The sequence below is a fragment of the Homo sapiens genome, chromosome 12, assembly GCF_000001405.40.
Source record: "Homo sapiens chromosome 12, GRCh38.p14 Primary Assembly".
Lineage (NCBI taxonomy): Eukaryota > Metazoa > Chordata > Mammalia > Primates > Hominidae > Homo > Homo sapiens.
This window is the reverse complement of record NC_000012.12, coordinates 49,538,338-49,560,510: the sequence shown is the minus strand read 5'-3', so window position 1 is coordinate 49,560,510 and position 22,173 is coordinate 49,538,338. Positions and strand designations below refer to the sequence as shown.

General features: G+C 58.2%; 2 protein-coding genes and 1 long non-coding RNA gene across 14 annotated transcripts in view, besides 8 other annotated features; 2 read left to right on the top strand and 1 right to left on the bottom strand.

The window, feature by feature from the left end:
- The window catches only part of MCRS1 (microspherule protein 1), a 9,844-nt gene extending 7,632 nt beyond the window's left edge, over nucleotides 1–2,212 (top strand). For 5 of the 7 annotated variants that reach the window (NM_001278341.2, XM_011537760.4, NM_006337.5 and 2 more), the window contains 7 exons: nucleotides 141–216; nucleotides 544–572; nucleotides 690–782; nucleotides 976–1,058; nucleotides 1,210–1,297; nucleotides 1,541–1,668; nucleotides 1,782–2,212. In NM_001278341.2, coding sequence (NP_001265270.1) covers nucleotides 141–216; nucleotides 544–572; nucleotides 690–782; nucleotides 976–1,058; nucleotides 1,210–1,297; nucleotides 1,541–1,668; nucleotides 1,782–1,868 — 584 coding nt within the window. In that variant the 3' untranslated portion in view covers nucleotides 1,869–2,212. Of the gene's footprint in view, nucleotides 1–140; nucleotides 217–543; nucleotides 573–689; nucleotides 783–975; nucleotides 1,059–1,209; nucleotides 1,298–1,540; nucleotides 1,669–1,781 lie in introns of those variants that run through there. The other 2 variants (NM_001012300.1, XM_047428083.1) reach the window with 2 other exon arrangements.
- KCNH3 (potassium voltage-gated channel subfamily H member 3) lies at nucleotides 2,174–21,481 on the bottom strand. Of its 4 annotated transcripts, none has more exons than XM_011538085.3 (15): nucleotides 21,019–21,481; nucleotides 19,379–19,612; nucleotides 18,747–18,881; nucleotides 17,672–17,805; nucleotides 16,993–17,236; nucleotides 16,439–16,596; nucleotides 16,129–16,336; nucleotides 11,338–11,616; nucleotides 10,871–11,070; nucleotides 10,182–10,431; nucleotides 5,957–6,174; nucleotides 4,560–4,891; nucleotides 4,035–4,141; nucleotides 3,252–3,361; nucleotides 2,174–3,157 (listed from the first exon to the last, which is right to left on the bottom strand). In XM_011538085.3, exons 1-15 carry the CDS (start codon nucleotides 21,092–21,094, stop codon nucleotides 2,558–2,560), a joined length of 3,285 nt encoding a protein of 1,094 aa, XP_011536387.1. In that variant the 5' UTR covers nucleotides 21,095–21,481; the 3' UTR covers nucleotides 2,174–2,557. The 4 variants fall into 4 exon arrangements, with proteins under 4 accessions (XP_011536387.1, NP_036416.1, NP_001300959.1 ...); NM_012284.3 differs by having other exon boundaries at nucleotides 3,252–3,328; NM_001314030.2 differs by having other exon boundaries at nucleotides 3,252–3,328; nucleotides 19,379–19,608.
- Nucleotides 7,312–10,230, top strand: LOC105369761 (uncharacterized). 3 transcript variants are annotated; one of them, XR_007063298.1, is made up of 3 exons: nucleotides 7,312–7,959; nucleotides 8,575–8,788; nucleotides 9,654–10,230. It is a non-coding gene; the product is annotated as an uncharacterized LOC105369761 (long non-coding RNA). The 3 variants fall into 3 exon arrangements; XR_007063297.1 differs by lacking the exon at nucleotides 9,654–10,230 and having other exon boundaries at nucleotides 7,312–7,753; nucleotides 7,873–7,959; nucleotides 8,575–8,936; XR_944937.1 differs by lacking the exon at nucleotides 9,654–10,230 and having other exon boundaries at nucleotides 8,575–8,936.
- Nucleotides 12,156–12,964: an enhancer, noted in NCBI's record as "H3K4me1 hESC enhancer chr12:49941330-49942138 (GRCh37/hg19 assembly coordinates)". NCBI's record gives its function as "activates a minimal SCP1, AML or CMV promoter by ChIP-STARR-seq in naive H9 embryonic stem cells {active_cell/tissue: H9 hESC(naive)}" and the evidence as "EXISTENCE:reporter gene assay evidence [ECO:0000049][PMID:30033119]".
- Nucleotides 16,592–17,505: an enhancer, noted in NCBI's record as "H3K4me1 hESC enhancer chr12:49936789-49937702 (GRCh37/hg19 assembly coordinates)". NCBI's record gives its function as "activates a minimal SCP1, AML or CMV promoter by ChIP-STARR-seq in naive H9 embryonic stem cells {active_cell/tissue: H9 hESC(naive)}" and the evidence as "EXISTENCE:reporter gene assay evidence [ECO:0000049][PMID:30033119]".
- Nucleotides 16,592–18,051: a biological region, named in NCBI's record as "BRD4-independent group 4 enhancer GRCh37_chr12:49936243-49937442".
- Nucleotides 16,852–18,051: an enhancer, noted in NCBI's record as "BRD4-independent group 4 enhancer chr12:49936243-49937442 (GRCh37/hg19 assembly coordinates)". NCBI's record gives its function as "activates an origin of replication core promoter dependent on BRD2, P300/CBP, MED14 and CDK7 cofactors, and independent of BRD4, by STARR-seq in HCT116 cells {active_cell/tissue: HCT116}" and the evidence as "EXISTENCE:reporter gene assay evidence [ECO:0000049][PMID:35650434]".
- Nucleotides 19,858–19,907: an enhancer, noted in NCBI's record as "active region_6316". NCBI's record gives its function as "activates an Ori minimal core promoter by ATAC-STARR-seq in GM12878 lymphoblastoid cells {active_cell/tissue: GM12878}" and the evidence as "EXISTENCE:reporter gene assay evidence [ECO:0000049][PMID:35858748]".
- Nucleotides 20,552–21,361: an enhancer, noted in NCBI's record as "H3K27ac-H3K4me1 hESC enhancer chr12:49932933-49933742 (GRCh37/hg19 assembly coordinates)". NCBI's record gives its function as "activates a minimal SCP1, AML or CMV promoter by ChIP-STARR-seq in naive H9 embryonic stem cells {active_cell/tissue: H9 hESC(naive)}" and the evidence as "EXISTENCE:reporter gene assay evidence [ECO:0000049][PMID:30033119]".
- Nucleotides 21,362–22,173: an enhancer, noted in NCBI's record as "H3K27ac-H3K4me1 hESC enhancer chr12:49932121-49932932 (GRCh37/hg19 assembly coordinates)". NCBI's record gives its function as "activates a minimal SCP1, AML or CMV promoter by ChIP-STARR-seq in naive H9 embryonic stem cells {active_cell/tissue: H9 hESC(naive)}" and the evidence as "EXISTENCE:reporter gene assay evidence [ECO:0000049][PMID:30033119]".
- Nucleotides 21,491–21,670: a silencer, noted in NCBI's record as "silent region_4439". NCBI's record gives its function as "represses an Ori minimal core promoter by ATAC-STARR-seq in GM12878 lymphoblastoid cells {active_cell/tissue: GM12878}" and the evidence as "EXISTENCE:reporter gene assay evidence [ECO:0000049][PMID:35858748]".

Genomic DNA, 22,173 nt, shown 5'->3' with positions numbered 1-22,173 from the left:
TAATCTGGTATGGGCACCCTTGCTGGTGCTGGGCTCTCCACCCAGCGCAGTCTGCAGCTGGTCCACTTGGCTTAGTGGTCCGCTCAGCATCGGGTTCAGCAAGACCCTTGGTGCTCACGCTTTCTCTGTCCTTTGTTCAGTGCAGCCGCTGCCCAAAGGGGACCAAGTGCTGAACTTCTCTGATGCAGAGGACCTGATTGATGACAGTAAGCTCAAGTGAGTGGCTGGAGACACAGGAAGGGGTGGAGAGAGCCGAGTCACTCCTGTCAGGTAGAGCGCCCCAGGCTGCCCAGCCCCAGCCCTTGGGCTCCCGTTGGTGCTTGGCCCCCCCTGGCTGAGCCCCCTCCCCTCCCACTGGGGCCTTCTTAGGCTCCGCTGCTTTACCCTTATCCCCAGCCCAACCCCAGAGAAGGAGGCTGGGCCAAGGCCTGATGTACCACCTTCCAGGCCACTTGGCTAAAGGGGCTCAGGGATGCCCTAATGAGCCAAGTAACAGGCAAGCTGAAGGTGGACCTAAATCTTCCTTCTCTTCTTGCCCCTCAGGGACATGCGAGATGAGGTCCTGGAACATGGTAAGTATGGCCTCATGGGGTGGTGAGGGGATGGAAGCTCCTGCCAGAATCAAGAGGACCAGTACAAGGTGCTGGTGGCCTCAGAGCATCCCTCCTTACCACCCCACCTCACCCCAGAGCTGATGGTGGCTGACCGGCGCCAGAAGCGAGAGATTCGGCAGCTGGAACAGGAACTGCATAAGTGGCAGGTGCTAGTGGACAGCATCACAGGTGAGGAGGCCTGGGCACCAGAAGGCTCACTCTTCAGCATCCTTCGCCCCAGCCTGTGCCCCTGTTGCTGCCTGGCTGGGGAGACCCTCGTTTCCCAGGCCCCGACCCCCTTCCCTTATAAACCTTGCCCTGGTTCCCTGCCTTGCATTCTGGCCCTCAGGGGTAGGCTCTTCCAAACTCCCTCTTCTCCCAGGCATGAGCTCTCCGGACTTCGACAACCAGACACTGGCAGTGCTGCGGGGCCGCATGGTGCGGTACCTGATGCGCTCGCGTGAGGTGAGGCAGGCCCATCCCCGCCCTTCTTAGGCTGCTTCCTCTGTCAGTGCCTTTCTCTGCGTAGTCCTTGGTTTCCCATCTTTCTCTGGCCTGCATAGACCTACTCCCCCAATTCTTCAGGTCCCAGCCCTCACCTGCCCCATTTCCCCAGATCACCCTGGGCAGAGCAACCAAGGATAACCAGATTGATGTGGACCTGTCTCTGGAGGGTCCGGCCTGGAAGATATCCCGGAAACAAGGTATCCCCCACCCCCTGCCCCAGCAGGAAGCAGTGTGAGGTCGTCCCTCCCAGCCTCTCGCTGTCCTTTCTAGCCCTGGGCTTGGTGTCCATGGGGACCCTCGTGGACCACCTGAGGCAGGGATTCCTTGGTGTCTGCAGGAAGCAGAGCTGGTCCATGGAAGCTCCTGGCTCTCTCTGGCCTTTCCCCATCCCATCAATCCCTCCCCATCCCATCATCCCTTCTTTCTTTCTGCTTCCACAGGTGTCATCAAGCTGAAGAACAACGGTGATTTCTTCATTGCCAATGAGGGTCGACGGCCCATCTACATCGATGGACGGCCGGTGCTCTGTGGCTCCAAATGGCGCCTCAGCAACAACTCTGTGGTGGAGGTGAGCTGGGGAGGAGGCAGGAAGGCCAGGATGAGACCTAGGCGTGGTGAGCCAGTACACCAACTTGGTCCTGGTGCCACCTCTGTCTTAAGCCACCTTTGTCTCCCACCCAGATCGCCAGCCTGCGATTCGTCTTCCTTATCAACCAGGACCTCATTGCCCTCATCAGGGCTGAGGCTGCCAAGATCACACCACAGTGAGGAGTGGTGGCAGGACTCGTGGGCCCTCTCCGGCCTGTTTCCCCTGCCACTCCAGCCCCCTTGAGCTGGGAACTCAGGCTCCTGGAAAAACCTGGGCAGTGGGAGGCTCAGCTGCGGGCCATTGATTTGAGCCTTTGAGGGAGGATAGGGCTGGCCTTTGTGAAGCCAGCAGAGGCTGAGAACCTCAGGCTTCCCTAGATCCAGAGCCCCTCCCCATCTTCCTCTCTCTAAAAACAACCCTACCCCCCATTGCCACCTTCACTCCTGTGTCTCCAGCTGATTAGCCTCAGACTCTTCTTTTATTGTTTTTCTTTTGTAAATAAAAAGCACCAGGTTCCAAAGTAGTTTATTTTATTTTTTTTTTTTAATATAAAAATTTGGGGACAGGTAGAGGCAGGGGCACATGCAGGGGATGGCAAAGCTCTTCCTTGTCCTCAGGCCTCTGCCCCCAGCCTGCAGAGGGAGACCGGGAGGTCAGAGGAGCAGGCCGAGGAGAGGCCTGCCCCAGGGATCCAGCCTATCCTCTCTGAGAGTCAGGAGCCAGGTCCTCCTTTGCTTCCAGGCTCCCTGCCCTGAGCCAGCGGGCCGCATGGAGTCCGTGGGGAGGCTGCCACCCTGCCTTCACTCTGAGGTTGGGCCGAACAGCAGATGGCAGCACACCTGGCAACGCTGAGTTCTAGGGCTGGTACTCAGACCCCTGTGCCTTCTTCCTGGGTCCACTGGACTGTGCCAGAGCCATGGCAGCCAATAAGCACCATCTCCAGGCTGTGGGGGTCCCAGGGCAAGGCCAGGCCCCCTGACCCTGGTGGGGGCTCTCCAGTGCTGGTAGCCTCAGCCTGGCTCACAGGCTCTGCGGGCCCAGTCCTAGCCCCTTCCTCAGAAGGAGGAGGGGAGGCAGGGGTGCTGGGCTCAGAGCAGAGGTCTCCTGAGGCAGGGGGCTCTGAGTCTGAGGTGGAGGTCCAGAAAGCTGTGGCTCGAGGCCAGGGGGAGCTCTGAGACGCTGGGGGACCCCAGGGCCAGGGTGCCATGAGGGGAGGAGGCCCCGGACGAGGGTGGGGCCAAGTCCCACTCAAGACAGAGCCAGCTGGGGGCTGCAGGCAGTAGGAGGATGCCCCAGTGTCCACACACAGAGGCTGCAGAAGCCCGGAGGTGCTGGCTGGGCACGGCCCCTCTCCCGATGCCCGAGGGCACGGACCCTCCCTGTGGGGCGCCAGGACAAGCTGCACAGCCTGGCGAAGTGACTGCAGTCCTTCCCGCATCTGCAGCACCTGCTCTGACAGCTCTGTCACCTTTGGGGGAGGGAGGAGGCGAGGTCAGAATGGAGTCAGCCATGGAGTGCCTTCCCCTGGTGCCCCCCTCACCTCCACCTTCCCCCTCACCCACCGCCTGCCGAAGCTTGTCCAGTGTGTCTGTGTTCCTTGCCTCGCTGGGCCCATGGGGAACAGTGAGCAGGCCGCTCTCTGTGGGTAGTAGGATGGGGTTATCAGCTGGGGCTGGTAAGAGGAGATAGGCAATTTGGGGGTCTAGGCCTTGCCCCAGTTAGAGCACATTGACCTGGTAGGACCTGACTCCTAGGATCATCTCTTCTGGCCTTGCCCAAGGTGCTGAATTTTGCCCAAACTTCCAGGGGCAGGGAAAACACCACCCAGCAGCCCTCAGCCACACTGCCTAGTGCTCTCCTTCCCCTCAAAAAGTTGTTCTTTGTGCCTGTCCCTTGCTCTGTCCTCCAGGCAAATGGACATTCCTAGGAGCTCATTACCTTGTCCACTTCCCTGGCCTGGAGACATTTTCACCCCTGGATCCCCAGCCCTCTATCCCTTCAGTTAGCCAGAGATTGGGCTAAGGCTTTCAGTTACATTATATAACGTAAACATCAACCCATTTTTTTACAGACAGGAAGCTGGGGCCAGAGAAGCCAAATTCACACTGCTAGAAAGCTGACAGAGCAAGGATATAAACCCAGTTCCTGGCTGCGTCGAAATTAAAGTGCTGGTCTTCACCACCAAACTCCCCTGCCCGCACGACACCAAGGGGTAGTGGGGTGAGACGGCCTCCAGGCAGTCTGCCAGTTTCTCTAACATTGAAGGCTCAGAGGTCAACAGTGCTTGAGGTTCACAAGGCAAAGGGGCTGCCCCACCAACCTAGACCATCCCGGGGCCCTGGTACCTGGTCCAGGGGAGGGGCTGCTGCTACATTCCGGGCCAGACTGGCCCACGCGGAAAGAGAACTTGGGCTGGTCCGAGCCACAGCCGTCTTCAATGCCATCTACTACCCTGTGAACCCAGGTACCAGGACAACAAATCAATGGACAGGCAGCCACTGTGGGGTCATACGGGACGGGATGCCCCAGCGTCCACACACACAGGCTGCAGGAGCGTGGAACTGACCAGGAGCCCAGGAGAAAGCTAACATGGGGTCCCTTCCCCTAGGAGCTTACAGTTTAGCTGGGGGGCCAAGCTTGAGCAGCATGAGATGCAAGAGTTCAGAGCAGCGTGTGCCACACACCACACAGTGGAGTGGGACAGCAGGAGAAAGGAGGAGCACAGAAGGCTTCCTGGAGGAGGCAGGCTTGGCCCACATAGACTAGCGGGAGTTAAGATGGTTAGATGGGCACCTAGGGCAGGGTGCGCCTGCCCAGGGCCTCAGCCTCATCACCACCATCTCTGCCACGGGGGCCTAGGGTCTGCTCACCTGGGGCTCAGATCTGGGGGCACATTCCATGGCATGGGGGGCAGCCGTAGCCCCTCTAGGGCCCGTGGGGGAGCAGAGGGGCCAGCCTCAGCCTTCAAAGCCCCTGCCCTGCCTGGCCTCCCTCTGCCACCTAGACGAGGCCGGGGTGCTGTTCGACGTGGGGATAGCAGCTTGGCAGCTGAGGATGAGGAGGTGCAGCCAGGGGACAGCAGGGGGCTGGAGGGCTCATCAGCTGGGGCTGGGGAGACCGTGGGGCCCTGCTCCCCATCTGTCTCCTTCTCCTCCAGCGTGGACATAAGGGTATTGTCGCCGCTCAGGGAGCTGGTGTCCACCTAGGGATAGTGAGGGACAGGGAATCGGCATGGATGGTCACTATTGTGTCCCACTCACCTCCCCTACCAAGGCTTCATCTACCCTGGAAGGGATGAGCCATCTTTGTTAGAATAGCCAACATCTATTCTAACTGAAGGTCCTATAGATGATACTATCTTTTTTTTTTTTTTTTGAGACAGAGTCTTACTCTGTCGCCCAGGCTGGAGTGCAGTGGTGTGATCTCGGCTCGCTGCAAGCTCCACCTCCCGGGTTCATGCCATTCTCCTGCCTCAGCCTGTAGCTGGGACTACAGGCGCCCGCCACCACACCCGGCTCATTTTTTTTTTTTTTTTTTGTATTTTTAGTAGAGACGGCGTTTCACCGTGTTAGCGAGGATGGTCTTGATCTCCTGACCTCGTGATCCACCCGCCTCAGCCTCCCAAAGTGCTGGGATTACAGGCGTGGGCCACCGCGCCCGGCCAGATGATACTATCTTAATCTATAATCTATCTAAAGCCACCAAAGCCCTGGAGGTGTTAACTACCTCTCAAAATTCTAGCCAAATACGGACACCACCACTCCTCTACCAGGTCCCTCAGCCTAATTAAACTATCCAAGAGAATGCGGCGCTAAAAATTGGTTTGGAATTAGTGACAATCCAGGGAAATTCAAAAGCCCCTCAGAACAATCCTGTTTCACCATGAAAAAACACAGGGGGCCACCAGGCTCTCTTCAGAAGCAACCTGAAGAGCTGGTGCCTGTCTCTGCCCTGCTCAGCCCCTGACCCCCAGGAGCCACCCCTCCCTGTGCCAGCACTGATGCATTCATCTACCTTCACTAAGATTCCTCTGGACAGGGTAAGGCTGCCTCAGACAGGCCAAGGAGAGCTGGCAGGGGTGGCTGCACATGCTGGGCTGGGCACATGAGTGTGGAAGGGCAGAGAGGGTGTAGACCCCTGCCCAAGGTGGGAGCTTTCATACCAGGCCACACTTCACACACAGCTCTCCACCATCCCCAGCCTCTGCCCACTTCACCAGGCTCCCTGGCACCCCCATCCCCTCCAAGCACATACTCAGCACACTCACCTCTGCAGAGCCTCCCCCAGCACCCAGGTTGTAGCTGAGCTCCCCTCGGAGGCCACGACTGAAGCGCGGGGCAAACTCGGGGTACAGCGCAAGGCTGTCGTGCAGGCCAGCCAGCTGCAGACACTGCAGGACGCAGTACGTCAGCCCCTTCACGTCGGCATTGGCCTTTACCACCTGCTCCCGCCGGGGCAGCTCACAGCCGATCAGGTCGCCCTTCCCTGGGGAGAGGAAGTAGAGGTCAGCAAGCCCTGAGAGCTTCAGCCATGAGGAGAGAAGAGGGGGCTGCAGGTTGCTGAGATTCCCTTCAGAGCTGGGCTGGGCCTCTGTAGCTGAAGCCTTGAAGCCAGCAGAGAGAGGAGCAAAGAGGCCTGGGACATGGCCTGACGCCTGCAGCCTGTCTCACTGGCTCCCACATGGGCTTGGGGTAAAGAGCTCTGTGACCCAGGCCCTCAAACACATTCAGGATCAAAACCACTGTGCCAGAAAACCTGAATTATAGCCCTGAGAGAGACTGAACATCAGTTCTAGTGTTTCACAGCTGGCTATGTTGATTAGAATCCCCTGCAAAAGTCAGAACAAACACCCAGGCCCTATCTCTACCTACAGCGTCACAGTATCTATGGGAGACCCCACAGTCTGATTGTTTTTAAGTCCCACAGGTGATTCAGATGCAGCTTGTCCAGGAATCAGTGTTTGGAACCAGCAAATTAGAGCCCTGTGTGGCATAGGGAAAATGCCAGGCAGCCAGGCTTACCTTCCTGAGCCCTAGCTGCCTCTGCTCTACAAGAGATGCTGCATTTAACTGAGTCTAGGGAATATTCTTGATCTCACCAGAAGGGGTCAATGGAGGTTTTCCCACAGGCAGGTTAAGACTGCCACCTGGCTGACAGTAATTATTAAATGGCATCAATTAGAGCCTGCGGTGTAATCTCAGAGATGTTAGATTGGGTAGGGTGGGTGAGATGTGTGTCTTAGAATCAATGAAATAGGGTGTGTCTGTCCAGGGACATGTTGAGGCTAAATTAGAGTTAATGTAGATAAAGTGCCTCACACAAAGACGACCAAAAAGAAATCATTTTCTTCCTTTCCCTCCCAGATAGAACCCCCTATAAATCATTCCTGCCAGGCACAATGACTCCCAGCACTTTGGGAGGCCATGGCAGGAGGATCGCTTGAGCTCAGGAGTTTGAGACCAGCCTGGGCAACATGGCAAAACCCTGTCTCAAACAACAACAACAACAGCAGCAAAAATTAAGCTCGGTGTGGTGGTGTGCACCTGCAATCTCAGCTATTCTGGAGACTGAGGTGGATGGATCACTTGAGCCCAGTAGGTCGAGGCTGCAGTGAGCCGAGATCACACCACTGCACTCCAGCCTGGGCGACAGTGAGACCTGGTCTCAAAAAAAAAAATTCATTTCCAACAGGGATAGGCACGCAGTCCGGGCTTGGGCAGAGCACTCACTACCCTCAAGGCAGCTCAACCACCGCCAGGCAGTTCAGACTGTTAGAAAGTGTTTCAAAAAGGATGGCCCTGCTATGGACTACCTCACACTGCCAGCAGCACACACTGAGCTCACGTCTCCTCTACATGTTCCTGGACTTTTGCTCCAACTTAAGTATAGAATGCACCCCAACTTAAGTATAGTTTAACACTTGATTTTCTTGGTTTCAGGCCATCCTTCTGGGTCGTTTTGAGTGCTGTTTGGATCTCAATGTGATCATCTGGGGAATGTGCTCTCTTTTCATTGGCGTCATCTGAAATAGAATAAGCACGTGCTTCTTGTCTTCATCTAAGAGGTGGGAGAAAATGAGAAACAGGACAGGACCGAGGGCAGAGTCTCAGGACCAGAGACTGCCCACCAGGTGCAGCTCATCAAACTACTTCCTTCCTCACAACGGACTTTGCGTATGCTTAGCTTCCAGCAGTTCATCAACAGAGGCAAGCGCCAGAACCCAGAGCTGCCTGAAGCAGACAGGATGCACTTGGATGTTCGAGTAAAAAGGTAGGTGAGGAGAGGGTAGGTATGAAGGCAAAGCAGAGAACCCGACCATGATTGGGGTCGGGGAACCAGGCATTCACCAGGGCATCTAGAGCCTCCAAGTCAACAGGGAAGTAGTTCACCCAAAACATATAGAAGGTGACAGGATGGATCAACGGTGGCATAAGTCCTGGTGCTAGGGACATTGTAGAGGCAAAGGCCCAGGGCACAGGCTGTAGCCATTCTTGTGGCACTGAATACTGCACACTGAACATGGCTATTCTGAGACGTGGTGCCTGGCACCAGCAAAGGCATGCTCTGAGAGGACCTGTGCCAGCTCCCAGCCACACAACTCCCTCGGCTCCAGGCTGGAAACCATCTGTTTCGTAATCCACTCGTCAATCCTGCTTTGGGTTCACCAGTCTACAGTGGTGAAAATCTGTCCTTGTGCCCTTCGGAATCTCTCCAAGGATTGCCAGCTACACTTAACTGGCATAACTCCATTTTCTCATGCTGGCATAAACCGCATGTAGGCACCAAAGCTGGACTCATGAAAGATGTAAAACAAAGGGTGTGAACAGCCTGTCCCCACTCTTGGGGTCTAAGACCCCGATGGCATTTTTTTCCTCTTGTTTCCAGCTGGAAGGTCATCCTCTTCAAGGGAGCAAGGATGGACACACAGTAGCTGCGTCTGGTGACACCGCCCCACCTTCCTGGCCCTTTCCTGCTTCTCATCTTGATTGTGGATTGCCAGATGAATGAGAAACCTCAGCCCCAGGGCTTCAGCAGTCCCCACAGTGAATCTACACGTGCCTTGGCTGCCTGAGGATTCGATGTCGTCAGCAGTGGTCAGGTCACCACCTCCCCACATGTACAAGTCCTTGACTACCCACACCGGTCACATGTTCCCCGCCCTCTAGGGTCACGGTGATAGTCTCTTGCAGCCATAGAGCTCTGCTCCTCTTTAGTGGCTTTTCTTTTTTTTTTTTTTTTTTTTTTTTGAGACAGAGTCTCGCTTATCGCCCAGGCTGGAGTGCAGTGGTGCAATCTTGGCTCACTGCAGTCTCCATCTCCTGGGTTTAAGCAATTCTTCTGCCTCAGCCTCCCAAGTAGCCTGGATTACAGGTGTCCACCACCACACCCGGCTAATTTTTGTATTTTTAGTAGATACAGGATTTCACCACGTTGGCCAGGCTGGTCTTGAACTCCTGACCTCAAGTGATCTGCCTGCCTCGGCCTGCCAAAGTGCTGGAATTATAGGCTTGAGCTACCGCGCCCGGTCCTTTAGTGGCTTTTCACAGACACAGCCCCATGTTTCCCTGAGAGTTAGAATGTGCTCCCAACTCTCCAAATCCTAGAGTGCAGGTCCAACCCTCCTAACGATGGCTTCCTCCCTGCCAGTCCCAATTCCCCCCAGAGCACCTGGGAGCCCTGTGGAAGAAGCATGAGACTTGGCGCCAGGTGGATGGGGCTCCAGCCCCGGCTGGCCGATTCCTAGCTGTTCATTAACCTCTCTGACCTTGGTCTCCTGCTATGCAAAATAGGAATAATGGGTTTTGTGAGGTTAGAGTGAGACAAAGCAGTAAGGAGCTGGGACAGGGCTAGTCACGCTGTGAGCCCCCTGTTATCAGCACTACTATTGTGTCCATTCCACACCTGCAATTTCTTCATCTGCGTCTAGGGAACTGATTTCCTTTTTCACCTCCTTCTTTTCCCAGGAAGGGAAGTATATACACTGTAGATACCATTTCATCAGAATGAGTCTCCCTGACTGTTTGGAGACTGAGCTCTGTCACCCATCTGGGCTCTGGGCCTGCTCTGTGATCTGCCTCAGGAAAGTCACATCTCACTGTTCCTGGGGGACCACAAAGACAGCTTTTGTTCCTCCCCTTTTTAGCCCTGCCTGACACTCTCCCCAGCACTTCCATCCCTAGCTTCTGATTTTCCTCCTGAAGGAAGGGCAGCTCCCCTCTGTCCCCCATAGACTGGCTCCTTTCAAAGGCTGGCCCTCCACTCGCTCGGCCCCAGGGACACCTGCGAGATCGTGTCCACCTACTTACGCTGCCACCTTGCAGTCACTGGGGCTTCTCTGAGCTTTGACCAGGACTCCATAACTACTCCTGACTCCACCCTGGCTGTTTCTCTCTCAGTGGCCTTGTGGAGGTCCCCTCTCCAGGTTTTCCACAGATCAGGGCCATGGTCTCACACACACGTGCCCCCACGCCCTCTCTCCCACCCTCACAAACCTAGGATGGCGAGCACGGTGCCACCCTTGAGCACCTCCATGGAGCCAGAGCAGACAAAGTAGAGGGCCTGCAGGGCATCGCCTTGGTGGATGAGGTACTCGCCCGGCGTGCAGAAGGCGGGCCGCAGGGCCAGAGACAGTGCCCGCAGGCAGCCGCGGCTGGCCGCCTCAAACAGTGGCAGCTGCAGGACCTCCTTGTGCAGGTGCATGGCGATGTCTGCGCGCAGCTCGTCAGGGAGGCTCTGCAGCAGCTGCAGGTGAGCAGGTGCGGGGGTGGGGGGGTTGGGAGTGGCAGAAGAGGAGGTGGCCTCCAGCCAGCCCCTCTCCACCCTGGCAGGCCTCAGGAACAGGGGAGGCATGGGAGGGACCTGAGGCCTCTCTCACAACTCCAAGCTCCACACAGGGTGGCAGCGAGGGGGCTTCCTCCACCTCCCTCTCAATCACTTTAGCGCCCAGAGCAGCCCAGCTTCCCACCTCAGTGAGTACCAAGCCCCCAGACCTAACTGCGGTTCAGAGGGCCCTCCAAGCCTTCTTAGCTGCCCTCTGTCCCATGCCGCTGTCCCCTCAAGAGAGAAGGGAGGCACAGGGGCCAAAATTCTGCATTCATCCTCCCCCACTCCTGATAATTCTAGGCTATTGCAAACCCCCTGAGGGAGCAAAGGCTAGCAGGCCCAGCCCCGGAGGCCGCACCTCGGTGGTGTCGATGCCATTGTTCACCGCCCAGGTGGCCTGGAAGTACTCCAGCATGCGCTGCTTGAGGGGCTTGGGGATACGGTGGATGCGGATGTAGTCGCGCAGGTCGCGCGTGCGGCTGTGGTACAGAAAGCGGCGGGCGTACATGCGCTGGATGATGGCCGTCACGTTCCCAAACACCACCGCGTGCATCAGGGCTGGGGGAGGGTGACGAGAGGGGGTCACCTAGGGGACCTGGCCCGGCCTGACACCACGCTGGGCTCATCTGTCCTCGGCCCGCACGCTCCTAGGCAAGGCCTGAAGGCCGCTGTGCGGGCGAAGTCTCCCCCACCCCCGGCCTCGGGTTCCGCGGCCACCTAAAGCGGAAGAGCCCCCGGCCTCAGGCCCTCCGGGGAGTGGGACGGCGCCGCCTGCGGGCAGAAGTCTGGGAGTGGCCCCGGGAAGACGCGCGCGGCCGGGCTCACCGCCGATGAGCATGGTGCAGATGGAGAAGATCTTCTCGGTGTCCGTGTTGGCGGACACGTTGCCGAAGCCCACGCTGGTGAGGCTGCTGAGTGCGAAGTAGAGGGAGGTGATGTAGGCGCTGCGCAGCGACGGGCCGCCCAGCAGCTCCAGCCCCGTCCCGTTGGCCTCGCTGCTGCTGCTGCAGTTGTCACTCTGGCCGGAGCTGTTCCCTCCAGCTGGCCTCCGGCCCACCAGGTAGTAGGGAGTCTCCAGTCGGCGGGCCAGCTCCTGCAGCCAGCCTGAGGGGGGAACAGCAGGGCCTGAGCAGGCAGGAAGACTGTGGGCGAGGATGCCGGGCCCTGGGGGTGGGGACACGCAGACACAGACCCAGCCCCATGGCTTCCCGCCGCTTTGCCCCTTCACTGCCAGCCTAGCACACCCCTCTCCACCCCCTCAACCCTCAGAAGAGTCTGCCATTTCCCCAGCCAGCTCCTATTGGCACTGAGGATGACACAAGGGAAATCACACCCCTTCCCCCATGGCTGGCACCCATCCCAGGTAACGGGCCCAGTCGGAGGGCCTGGCTGGCGTGGGCAAAAGGACTGGGGTGCTCACTGCATTCAACCACAGCCTCAACCCCAAAAGATGGATGGTGAGGCCACCTCCGCCCTCACCTCCACCTGTCCAACGGGACTCCTCTTCCTGCATTTCTCTGAGCCCATCAACTCCAGAAGGCCCTCCCTCCCCTCCCCATTCAGTCTCATCCATCCCCACAGCCACACAAACCACTCAGCCTCACACACAGGTGCCAAGCACGCCTGCATGGACATGCACACACACTGTTAAGGCTATGTGTGTGCCCCACACAGTCAAGAAGACAAGGACACATGTATGCCCCTTACAGGCGCCTCAACACAGCCACTCACTGAAAAGGCTGTGCACACTTGGGAGAGGGACAAAGGTACACTGGTACCTACACACTGTCACTCAGGCAGAGGGTGAAGACACACTTTCGTGGACAAGAGCACACAGGCGAATACATTCACACAGGTGCGCGCGCACACACACACACACACACACACACACACACACACACACGTAGTCACAGGCTAGACCGGGCCACGGAGCAGAGGCTGGATTGCCCCTCAGCCCGAAGTTCTCCACCTGGCCTTGGCATGGAGTAGGGTTGTGCGCTGAGGTCTCTCCCAAGGCTGTGTGCTGGGAGTCACTCTTGAGCCTAGCTGGAGGGTTGCAGGAGCTCTAGGGTGTTGGATGGGGGATCCCAAGATCCACAGAGGTCCTGGCAGAGCTGGGGGCCATGGGGTGCAAGGGAGAGAGGGCGGATTGGCTGATCTAGAATGGTGAGGCAGAGGGTATGTGTGGCTGTGGCTTGGGGTCACAGGATGCAGTTGGACCCCACCTCTCCACTTGTGCCCTGCTCCTCCCACCTCAGCACAGACCCCCTACTCCAGACTCTCCCCAACACTTCAGGCATATGGGTCCTGTGGCCCGCACACACTTGTCATCCACCCACTCATTCATTCAGCAACCTCACACACTGTGTGCCAGGAGCTGGGGGCCCCACAGGAGCTCCCTGAGGGCTCCAGTTCAGAAGGGCAGGTGACATAGGGCCAGAACTACATCTCAGAGGTGCCACACGGCAGGAAGGGAGGGGGGCTCGAACCAAGTGCCATGGGCTAGGGCTAGAAGGCTTCTGGAAGAAGGGACATTTGTGCTTGGTTTCAAAGGGTAGTAGGGTTTTGATACAAAGAAACTGAGGGGGTCATTCCTGGTGGAGGGACAGGCACGAGCCAAACCTGGAGACTGATATTTTAAGACAAGTACAGGCAAGTAGCTGAGTTTGGCTAGAATGTGGGGTTAACACTGAGGGCATTACATTCCAGGCTAAGGAATTTAGGAGGATGTACTAAGACCTGCACCAAGGTGGGGGCTCACCTTCCCATTATCTGAGATGTGCCATAAGAATGCAGTGGAGTACATGGTTGGGTGCAGTGGCTCATGCATGTAATCCCAGCACTTTGGGAGGTCGAGGTGGGCAGATCACAAGGTCAGGAGTTCGAGACCAGCGTGACCAACATGGTGAAACCCCATCTCTACTAAAAATATAAAAATTAGCCAGGCATGGTGGCGCATGCCTGTAATCCCAGCTACTCGGGAGACTGAGGCAGAAGAATTGCTTGAACACAGGAGGCGGAGGTTGCAGTGAGCCGAGATTGCGCCGTTGCACTCCAGCCTGGGTGACAGAGTGAGACTGTCTCCAGAAAAAATAAAATAAAATTGGAGTACGTAAAACTCTTCACAGTCACTGTTTAGTTGGCCTCTGAGGGTGAAGCTACCCAAAGCCAAATGCCCAGGATAGGGAAGGTGGGGAGAAGCAGCAGGACACAGGGGAGGGTGGCAGGGAGGCCTCTGATCTTTCAGTCTTGGCCATGGGGCATCAGCAACCCCTGAAGCTGGGGCCAGGATTGTGCCTCCAGGTGGGCGGGGTCAGGCCAGCAGGAGCTGTCCCGGAGGCTGGGGGCTCGCACACCAAGGAGTGCTCTGAGTTCTCTCCCTCAATACTCAGCACAGTCTTGTGAAAATCCAGCCCACCTCCACTGGGCTAGTGGGAACCTGGGGAAGGAACTCTGTCCACATCATGGGCAGTGGAAAAGGAAACCCAGGCAAGGAAGCTTGGAGAAGGAGCTGCCCACCAGACTGAACTGGGCCAGCTGCCCACCCCCCCACCTCAGCCTCACCTCCCCCTGCAAGGAACTCTCCTGCCAGGGCTGGACTTGGAGAGGTCTGGGTTTGGTGCCAACCCAGTTAGGGGGCAGATTCCCTGGAGAAAGAGGAGATGATGATGTGAAGAACTTGTAAAGTCTCTAAATGTAGACTAGTACCGGCTCAAATGGAACGAAACCACCCTGGAACTCAGGGGTCAAGGGTGAAAGAATATAATGTGTATCTGCAAGGGTCGATCCACCCTTGCCCATCCTGTGGAGCTCAGAGATTCTTGGGAGCTGAAGGTCTTCTTAATGTCAGATCAGCAACCCCTGTGAGGTGGTTGGAAGAGAGGAGTCTCGTGGACACAAGACCAAGGGTGTCTGGGTCCCATTTCAGGGGGCGGGAGTGGACCTAGGGATTTGGTGTCTCAGCCCACTTTGGGGGTGGTGGAGACAGGCTTTGTTTCACCATTGTCCATCTTGTGGCCGTCTGACCCCAGAGCAGCTGACACCACAGGCTTCCTCTGGGAATAGCAGGCACCAAGGAGGTGTCACTGCCCGGAGTGTCCTGGTTTCCACCTACTCAGCAGTGAGAGCACTTGGGGAAAATTTCAAATGGGTCCTCTGTGACACACACAGGCCTCCTGTGAGCTTGCAGAGGGAGAGAGGATTCACAGGAGCCTTGTAGTTCCCAGGAAACTGATCAGACCGGGTTTCTAAGGCTGATCTGGACACCTGGTGACTCTGCCAAGGAGCAGACAGTCATACGAGGCCACCTGCCGGGTGTGGTGGCTCACACCTGTAATCCCAGCACTTTGGGAGGCCGAGGCAGGTGGATCACAAGGTCAGGAGATCGAGACCATCCTGGCTAACATGGTAAAACCCTGTCTCTACTAAAAATACAAAAAATTAGCCGGCGTGCTGGCGGATGCCTGTAGTCCCAGCTACCTGGGAGGCTGAGGCAGGAGAATGGCGTGAACCCAGGAGGCGGAGCTTGCAGTGAGCCTAGATCACGCCACTGTACTCCAGCCTGAGTGACAGCTCAAAAAAAAAAAAAAAAAAAAGCCACCTGCATCTGGAAACCCGGCTAAATGTCAGTTACCTGGAAGCTGACAAAGGGCTGGAGGGCTGGGGAGGAAGAGGTCAGGTTTGATTTTGGACCTGAGGCGCATCGAGAGTTAAAAACAGCTGGAATGGAATGGTTTGGCTAGAGAAAGGGTGGAAGTTGAGATGCTCACTCGGTGTCAGTGGAATAGCCGAGGGAAAGCAAGGTGAAGGGGGAGAGCTGTGAGGAAAGGTCTGGAGACCCTGGAACTTGGAGGAGCTGGGAGGAGGCCAGCTGAGGGCTGCATCACCCACAGCTGAGAGGAACTATGGTTGGCAGGGTCAGGTGATACAGGGACTTCAAGGAGGATGAGGGTTTGGTCCCAGAAGGTCACTGTGACCTTCCAGGTGACATTTTGGGTGCAGAGGTGGGGGTGGAAGCCCTCCCAGCAGGAGTTAAGATGTGAGTGGGTGGTGAGCAGAGAGGAGCTGTGGAAGGAGAGGAGGTGACATGAAGGAGAGTGAAGATGCTGGGGACGCAGAAAGCCTGCTTTTTAGGCCAGGGGAGAGCAGGATGCAGCGGGGAGAAATGTGGACTAGAGATGACAGAAGAAATGTGGACTGGAGGTGACAAGAGAAAGGCAGGGGCCTTGGAAGCCAAGGTGGTGGGGACAAGCTTCAGAGAGGATGCGGGGGGAGGGGTGGGGAGTGCCGGGTGTCAGAGAAACCCTGGAGGGCAGTGGCTCCCTGCTTGGCCTTCCCAACGGGGCAGGGGTTTAAGGAATGTGACCAACATTTGGCCACAGGAGGCCTGGATGGGCGACTGGGACTCCTTGGGCTTTCTCCACAAGGCCCAGCTGCTGGAGAACAGGCCCGTCACGTGGTGGTGGCTGTCACACTCACACCTGCACACCCTCTTCTCTGATTTGCACACGTGCAGACTTGCACAGGTAGGGACACCACACATCTGCACCCACGCTGGCACTCACACTCCTCTGACACAACTCCCTCCCCACCACATGCAGAGGGAGCCTCCAGTACCAATCTCAGGCAGCTCGGATTCGCTGCTCTCGATCTCCCGCTGGCCAATGTAAAACCAGACGCAGGCGACCCAGTGCGCGAGCAGGGCGAACACGGCCATGAGCAGTGTCAGCACCACGGCGCTGTACTGCGAGTACCGGTCCAGCCGCGGAAGCAGGCGCAGCAGGCGCAGCAGGCGCACCGTCTTCAGCAGATGGGCCCCGAAGTACTGAGATGCGGGGAGGGAGGGAGGGAGGGAGGGAGGTCAGCGGGCCGGCCCTGCCTGTCCCCTGGCCAAGCCCACCCACCCAGCCAGCCCAGCCACACTGACCACGTTGACCTTGAAGGCATGTAGCAGGTCAAAGGGCAGCGCTGCGATGACATCCAGCAGGAACCAGGTGGTGACGTAGTGGAGGCAAATGGACTTTGGGGCAAACACCACCTGGCCCGACTTGGACACGAATGTGGTACGGAAATTCAGCACAATGTCTGTGGGGAATCCGGGTGGGAGTCAGCACTGGGGCTGGGGGGGCAGCCACTCTTGCCTGGACACCTGCTCACTTTCTCAGTAGTTGACACTGTCCCCGGCCCTTCCCATACATCGTCTTAGTTCTCACAGTAACTGTAACAGGTAGACATCATTTTGCCTATTTTACAAAGGGGGAATCTATTTTATGGAGGCTCAGAGAGGCTTTGACCAGCTCAAGGTCATATAACTTCTAAGTGGCAGATGTTTGGAACCTAGGTCTGATTTCAAAGCTCACAGGTTACAAATGAGAGAGAGCGAGGGGGGCACTGTAGCACCCTGGAAGCCACGTGGACTATCCCCAGCAAAGCCCCAGGGCGCCAGCAAAGGGTGGGGCGGAAGGGGCAGAGTGCACGCACCAAGGATGAAGAGGACCTCCACGGCCAGGTCACAGACGCTGGGCGGGCCGCGGGCGGCACTGGGCTCCCGTGCTGTGCTCACACACACGCTGTAGGGCACAGTGACAGCCACATAGAGTGTGGCGAGCAGGATGAAGCCATCCCAGGTGGCTCTCAGTGCCCCACAGTGCAACAGGATGAAGGGCGACTTCCGGATGGCGGCTACTTTGTACTCAGGCAAGTTTGGTTTCTCCCCAAACACCCCCTGAGTGAGGCAGGGCAGGTCCAGGCAGAGAGGAAAGAATATTGGCACAGGCTGAGTTTGGATAGAGTCTGGGACCCGCATCCACCTCCTTTCTATCCCTGCATTATCGAAGCAGCATCTGCTTCGAGATGGCATTAGCATCTCCATTTTATAGATCAGAAAACTGAAGATCAGGAAAGTTAAGTGACTTAGCTTTGGCCACACAGCTGCTTAGGGGAGGAGCCAGGATTGAACCAAGGCCCATCTGCCTCCCAGGCCAGGACTTTCTTCTGATGGATCAGGCATGTGATCTTCCCTCCTTCAGTCCCAACCCCCAAAGTGCTGGCAAGGCCTGGGTGGCCCCTAGGACATTCTCTCTGTGGTAGATCAGGTTCCCCTTCCCCATCTTCTGCGTCTGCCCCTCCCCTCTCCCACACATCCCAGGGCTGAGCCCACCTTATTGAGCTTGTGCTTGCCCTTGGGCTGCTTCTGCAGGTGCCCGGACAGGTGGTAGAGCACGGCCCGGCTCCGCCGCCGGTTGGCATTGAAGCCTTTGGATCGTGCCCGGCCATATCGGCGCCGGCCACCACCTGCGAAAGAAGAGGGGCCCATGAAGATGATGGGTGTGTGCCCACACACCCTAGCTCCGGGTCAGGTGTAGGACACAGTTGCTGGCCCATGGACTGGTCTGGCTCATTGACCACTTAGAATGTTTAGAGTTGGGGGCTCAGGTATTCCTCACTTCCTGGGTTCACTTGCCCAGCCCAGCAATGGGCAGTCCTAGGAGTGTTTACAGACACTACCTCTGGGGTCTGCTTCCAGGAAGAGGAGGTTTGGACCAGAGGATCTCTACGGGGAAAGGCCTGGGACAGGAAGCGAGGAGGTACCTCACAGGGCCAGGGTGGAGAACTAGCAGGAGGCCGTCAGCAGAGGTGTGGGAACTTACAGCAGGAGCCCAGGAGCTAGTGCAGGGACCAGAGGGTGACAATGAAGGCTGACATCATGGAGAGGCAGACCCAGCACTGGGAGTACGCGAGTGGGAGTGGAGAGTACCCCCAGCATCCCCAAATGGCAAAGAGGCCTTGACAGCTTTGTAACCTGCCCAAAGGCCTGCCCCAGCCTTGGAGGACACAAGAGGGGAAAGACTCGAAGAACTTAAAAGCAGGCTTTGCCCAGAGCTCCACCCCCAGTCAGGTTTGCTGTAGGAAAGAGGAACCTGGTGGGTCTGTGCTCAACCTTATTAACTGGTCAGAAAGTACCTGCTTCACAGGTACAATTGGGTTTGTTTGCTTTCAGTTTCTTAATAAAGTTGACTTAAAAACTCCAACTTTGTCTCAATCTGTCTATTTGGAAAAAATATTCCCATACCGAGGAATGTGGAGATGAGAGCAGCACAGGCCTCTCAGGCAGCCTGAGTGGGAGTGAAATGAATGCAGGTGCATGGGGGACCCCCGTACTCAGACTGGGTGCCAAGGCCCCGCCCGGGCCTGCGGCACCCAATACCCCGACCACAGCACCTACATGCACCTACCTGTCTCCTTCCATCTGTCGGGGCCCCCTCGGTTCTTGGTTTCGCTGATGTCCTTGTGAGAGACTAGGAAGAGAGCCACCTCCCCTTTCTCATTCTTTATGGGTATCACATCCAGGAGACACCAGAACGGGAGCCCTGGGCACAAAAACAAACTCAGCCCACCTCCTATTCTCAGCACTGCCTGAGGTGACAGAGGCCCTGGCTCCACTGACATCCCGGGCAAGACACAGGCAGGATCTAGCGGTTTCCTGGGGGAAGGGCTGGCAGTCCAGTTTCACTGAAGGCAGGGCTTGATGGAATTGGGGGAAGGAAGCAAGGGAGAGCAAACATGACGGTCAGACCTGTCGTGTGGTAGATCTGCCCTGCCGAAATGCGGATGTTTTTCTGTTGGATGCGGGAAACCCGAGGTTGGAACTGAATGCAGGCTGAGGCTAGGGTGAGGCAGGTAGAGATGGGGAGCCGGGGCAAGAGGTGGGATGGAGCAAGAGGGGTTGGATGGGGGGATGGGAAGATGGGATGACATGGGGAGATGGAGAAGATGGCAACAGAAAGGAGGAGGGACAGTGGATGGGGCTGGTGCCAGGCTGGGTGAGACTGCAAAGGTGAGGCAGGCTGGCCAGGTGGCCCCTCACCGCTCTTCCGGTACAGGATCAGCTCAGCCTTGAACTCCTTGTGCTCGTCCAGGGCCTTGCGGATCTGTTGGCGGACGAGCTCACTGGTGTCTGGCCCATAAAGGAAGGAGCAGGCACAGCCCCGCTGCATGACCTCAGCCCGGGAGAAGCCCGTGAGGTCACAGAAGCCATCAGAGCAGTAGACCACGGGGAAGAGCCCCGCCACCTGGGCGTTGCCCAGCACGAAGTTACTGTCTGCAAGAGAGCACTTCTCAGAGGAGGCGTGGGGTGAAGGGGCAGGAGGCCTACCACCCCTCCTTTCTCAAATGCCTGCAACCAAAGAGTGGGTTTTCCAAACCCCAGGAATCCTGCGTGTGTTAAGGCAGGGCTGTTTATGAATAGCAATCAGTGTGTGTCACCTGTTTGTCAGTGCCCTGCAGCAGGTGTGAGTACATTCAAGGATCAGCACATGTGAACTGAGGTCGGTGAATGAAGCGCTGTGCGGGCACTGTGCCTTCTGGAGGGTGTCCTGAGCAATGTGGGGTAAGGGCTGGGATTGGGGAATCCCTAATGAGGACTGCCCTGCCAGCTCTGGGCCAGCCTCAGCCCCACCTCTACTTCTGCCAGGCTCACCCACTAGCCAGGTACCCAGGTTGGCTGTCTGGCTTCTCCCACTGAGACACACCTAGACTGGAGGCAACCCCAGACCACCATACATCCTGCTGTCTGTGTTTTAGCCCTAGCTGCCTGACCTGGCTCAGGAATTAGTGAATGTGATCAAGAATGGGGGTGTAAGAATGGTGACTGAGCACGGGAGCCAGGAGCCAGGAATGTATTGGGGAGTGGGGGGCACTGAATCAGCAGGCTGCAGGAGCCAAGCACACTGGCAAAGCAGATGGAGGAGCCCGGAGTGGGGAGAGCGCAGGGCTGGGCTCCCACCCCCTATCAGGAACCGGAGACCAAGGAGGACCTAGGCAGAGAGCTGGGAAGCCCCACGGGGGATGTGAGGGAGAGGAGGAGGGAGGGGCTTTCATCACTTCCCCTGTGCTCAGAGCCCCCAGAACCGGGGATCCAGAGCTCGGGGCGCCTTCTCCAAACTTCCCCAGTCCTGATGGGAGTCCCCAAACCATCTTCTTGGGGCTAGATGGCCTCCCCAAGTCTAGGGGGTTCAGGCTATGAGACACGGGGCTTGGACACACGGTGCTCTCCCGAGTGCCGCCTACTCTTATCTCCGTTTGCAAATCTCTTTTCTAAATCTGTGTTTTGAGCCCTCTCAGCTGTCCCTGAGCACTGTTCACCCGCCTCGCCTTACCCCACCAGTCCGAGGGTAGTTGCTGCGACAGCGCCAGACGCAGGGGTGGGATGGGTCAGACTGACTAGGTTCGGGTTCGAGACCCGGCTAACAGAGAGCATCCCAGGACCCACACCCAGGGACTTCTGGCCCTGTTGCCTCGCCTGAAGCAGTGTTGACCCCGAACCTTCGAACCTTCGGGGAAACAGCGCCTAGCAGGAGACGATGGCCCCAGCCTCAAGAGGGGCGGGTAGGGAGGAGAGGGTGAGAATAGGCTGGCGCCAAGCTGGGCTGCTGGGGGTTCGGGGAAGGCGGGAGCCCTGGCGAGGGTCCGGCGGCCCGGGTGCAAGTGGGCGAGGGTCGGACTCACGCGTGCCGTCGAAGCGCGTAGCGATGGTGTCCAGGAAGGTGTTCTGCGGCGCCAGGAGGCCCCGCATGGCCGGCATCTTAGGCGCCCGCGGCTGCCCGCCCCATCCCTCCGGGGTGCGGGGACTCCGCGCCGGGGGAGGGCGCCCAGCTCGGCCGCCCCCCGCCGGGCCCCGCGCTCCCTAGCGCAGCCGTCGGGGGGCAATGCGCAGACCGGGATCCGGGGTCGCGCCGGACGCTGGCGCGCGAGGGGGCGTCCGCGCCGTCGGGGCCCGGAGCATGGCGCGCGGCCCCTCGCGCCCTCGCCGCCCACAAATCCCGGGCTCCAGGCCCCGCGGCCGCCGCGCTCTCAGCACCTCCCGCCGCGGCAGCGGCTCGCGTGTCGGCTGCGGGTGGGCTTCCGCTCGGCTTCGCTCGGCGCCGGCTCTCGGCAGCTCCCTCCGTCTGTCGGGGAGAAGCTGCAGCCTCCCTCCCTCCCTCCCGCGCCCGCCGCCTGCACCGGGGTAACCATGGAGACGGGGCACACCCAGCCAGGGCCGCCTCCTTAAAGGGACAGGCCTCCCGCGGAGGGCTCCCCTCCCTTCGGGACCTCGGCGGGGGCGGGGAGGTGGCGGCCGCCCTGATCCCACCCCGCGGGCCTCCCCGCCCGTACCTCGGAGAACCACTGGCGAGCGGCCGGCCCCCTTTGGCTCACTCGGCCTCAGCCGCAGAGGGGAGGCGTCTTTCTCTGCAGCCCGGGGGCTCTCCGAGAGCCTCCTAGCAGCCTCTCCTCCCCCGGCGGAATGGGAGGGGGGCTCGGGGCGTGGGGGGCAGGGGACGCATGCTGTGGAAGATGCTCTCCCCGAGGAAAATGCAGTGGGCAAGGGGACAGGGCGACAGGCGCAGGTGAAGGCCCTGCGGCCAGCGGAGGCCGGCGCTCTAGAGGGGCTCCAGCCGCACCCGGGAAATCTAAAAGCAGATGGGGCGGGGGTTCTGCGCGCACAGCTGCCCGGCCCTCGAGACTTTCTCATCCTCAACTTGACGCTCTGGAAAATGGATCCAGCTGCTCCTATGAGGTGTCTCCGCAAGCAGGAGCTGCCTGGAAACCAGAGGGTGGGTAGCCCTAGGAGTAAGGGTCAGACGTCCTCCGTGTGACCCCGTGGGCGGAAAGGGTGTGTGG

Excerpts from the sequence above, each read along its gene's own strand:
- KCNH3 (XM_011538085.3), bottom strand. The coding sequence starts at position 21,094 with ATGCCGGCCATGCGGGGCCTCCTGGCGCCGCAGAACACCTTCCTGGAC. Across the intron at positions 17,237-17,671 it reads GCAAGCACAAGCTCAATAAG|GGGGTGTTTGGGGAGAAACC; the intron begins GTGGGCTCAGCC and ends TGCCTCACTCAG. Across the intron at positions 6,175-10,181 it reads CACCGTGCTCGCCATCCTAG|GGAAGGGCGACCTGATCGGC; the intron begins GTTTGTGAGGGT and ends TCCTCTCCCCAG.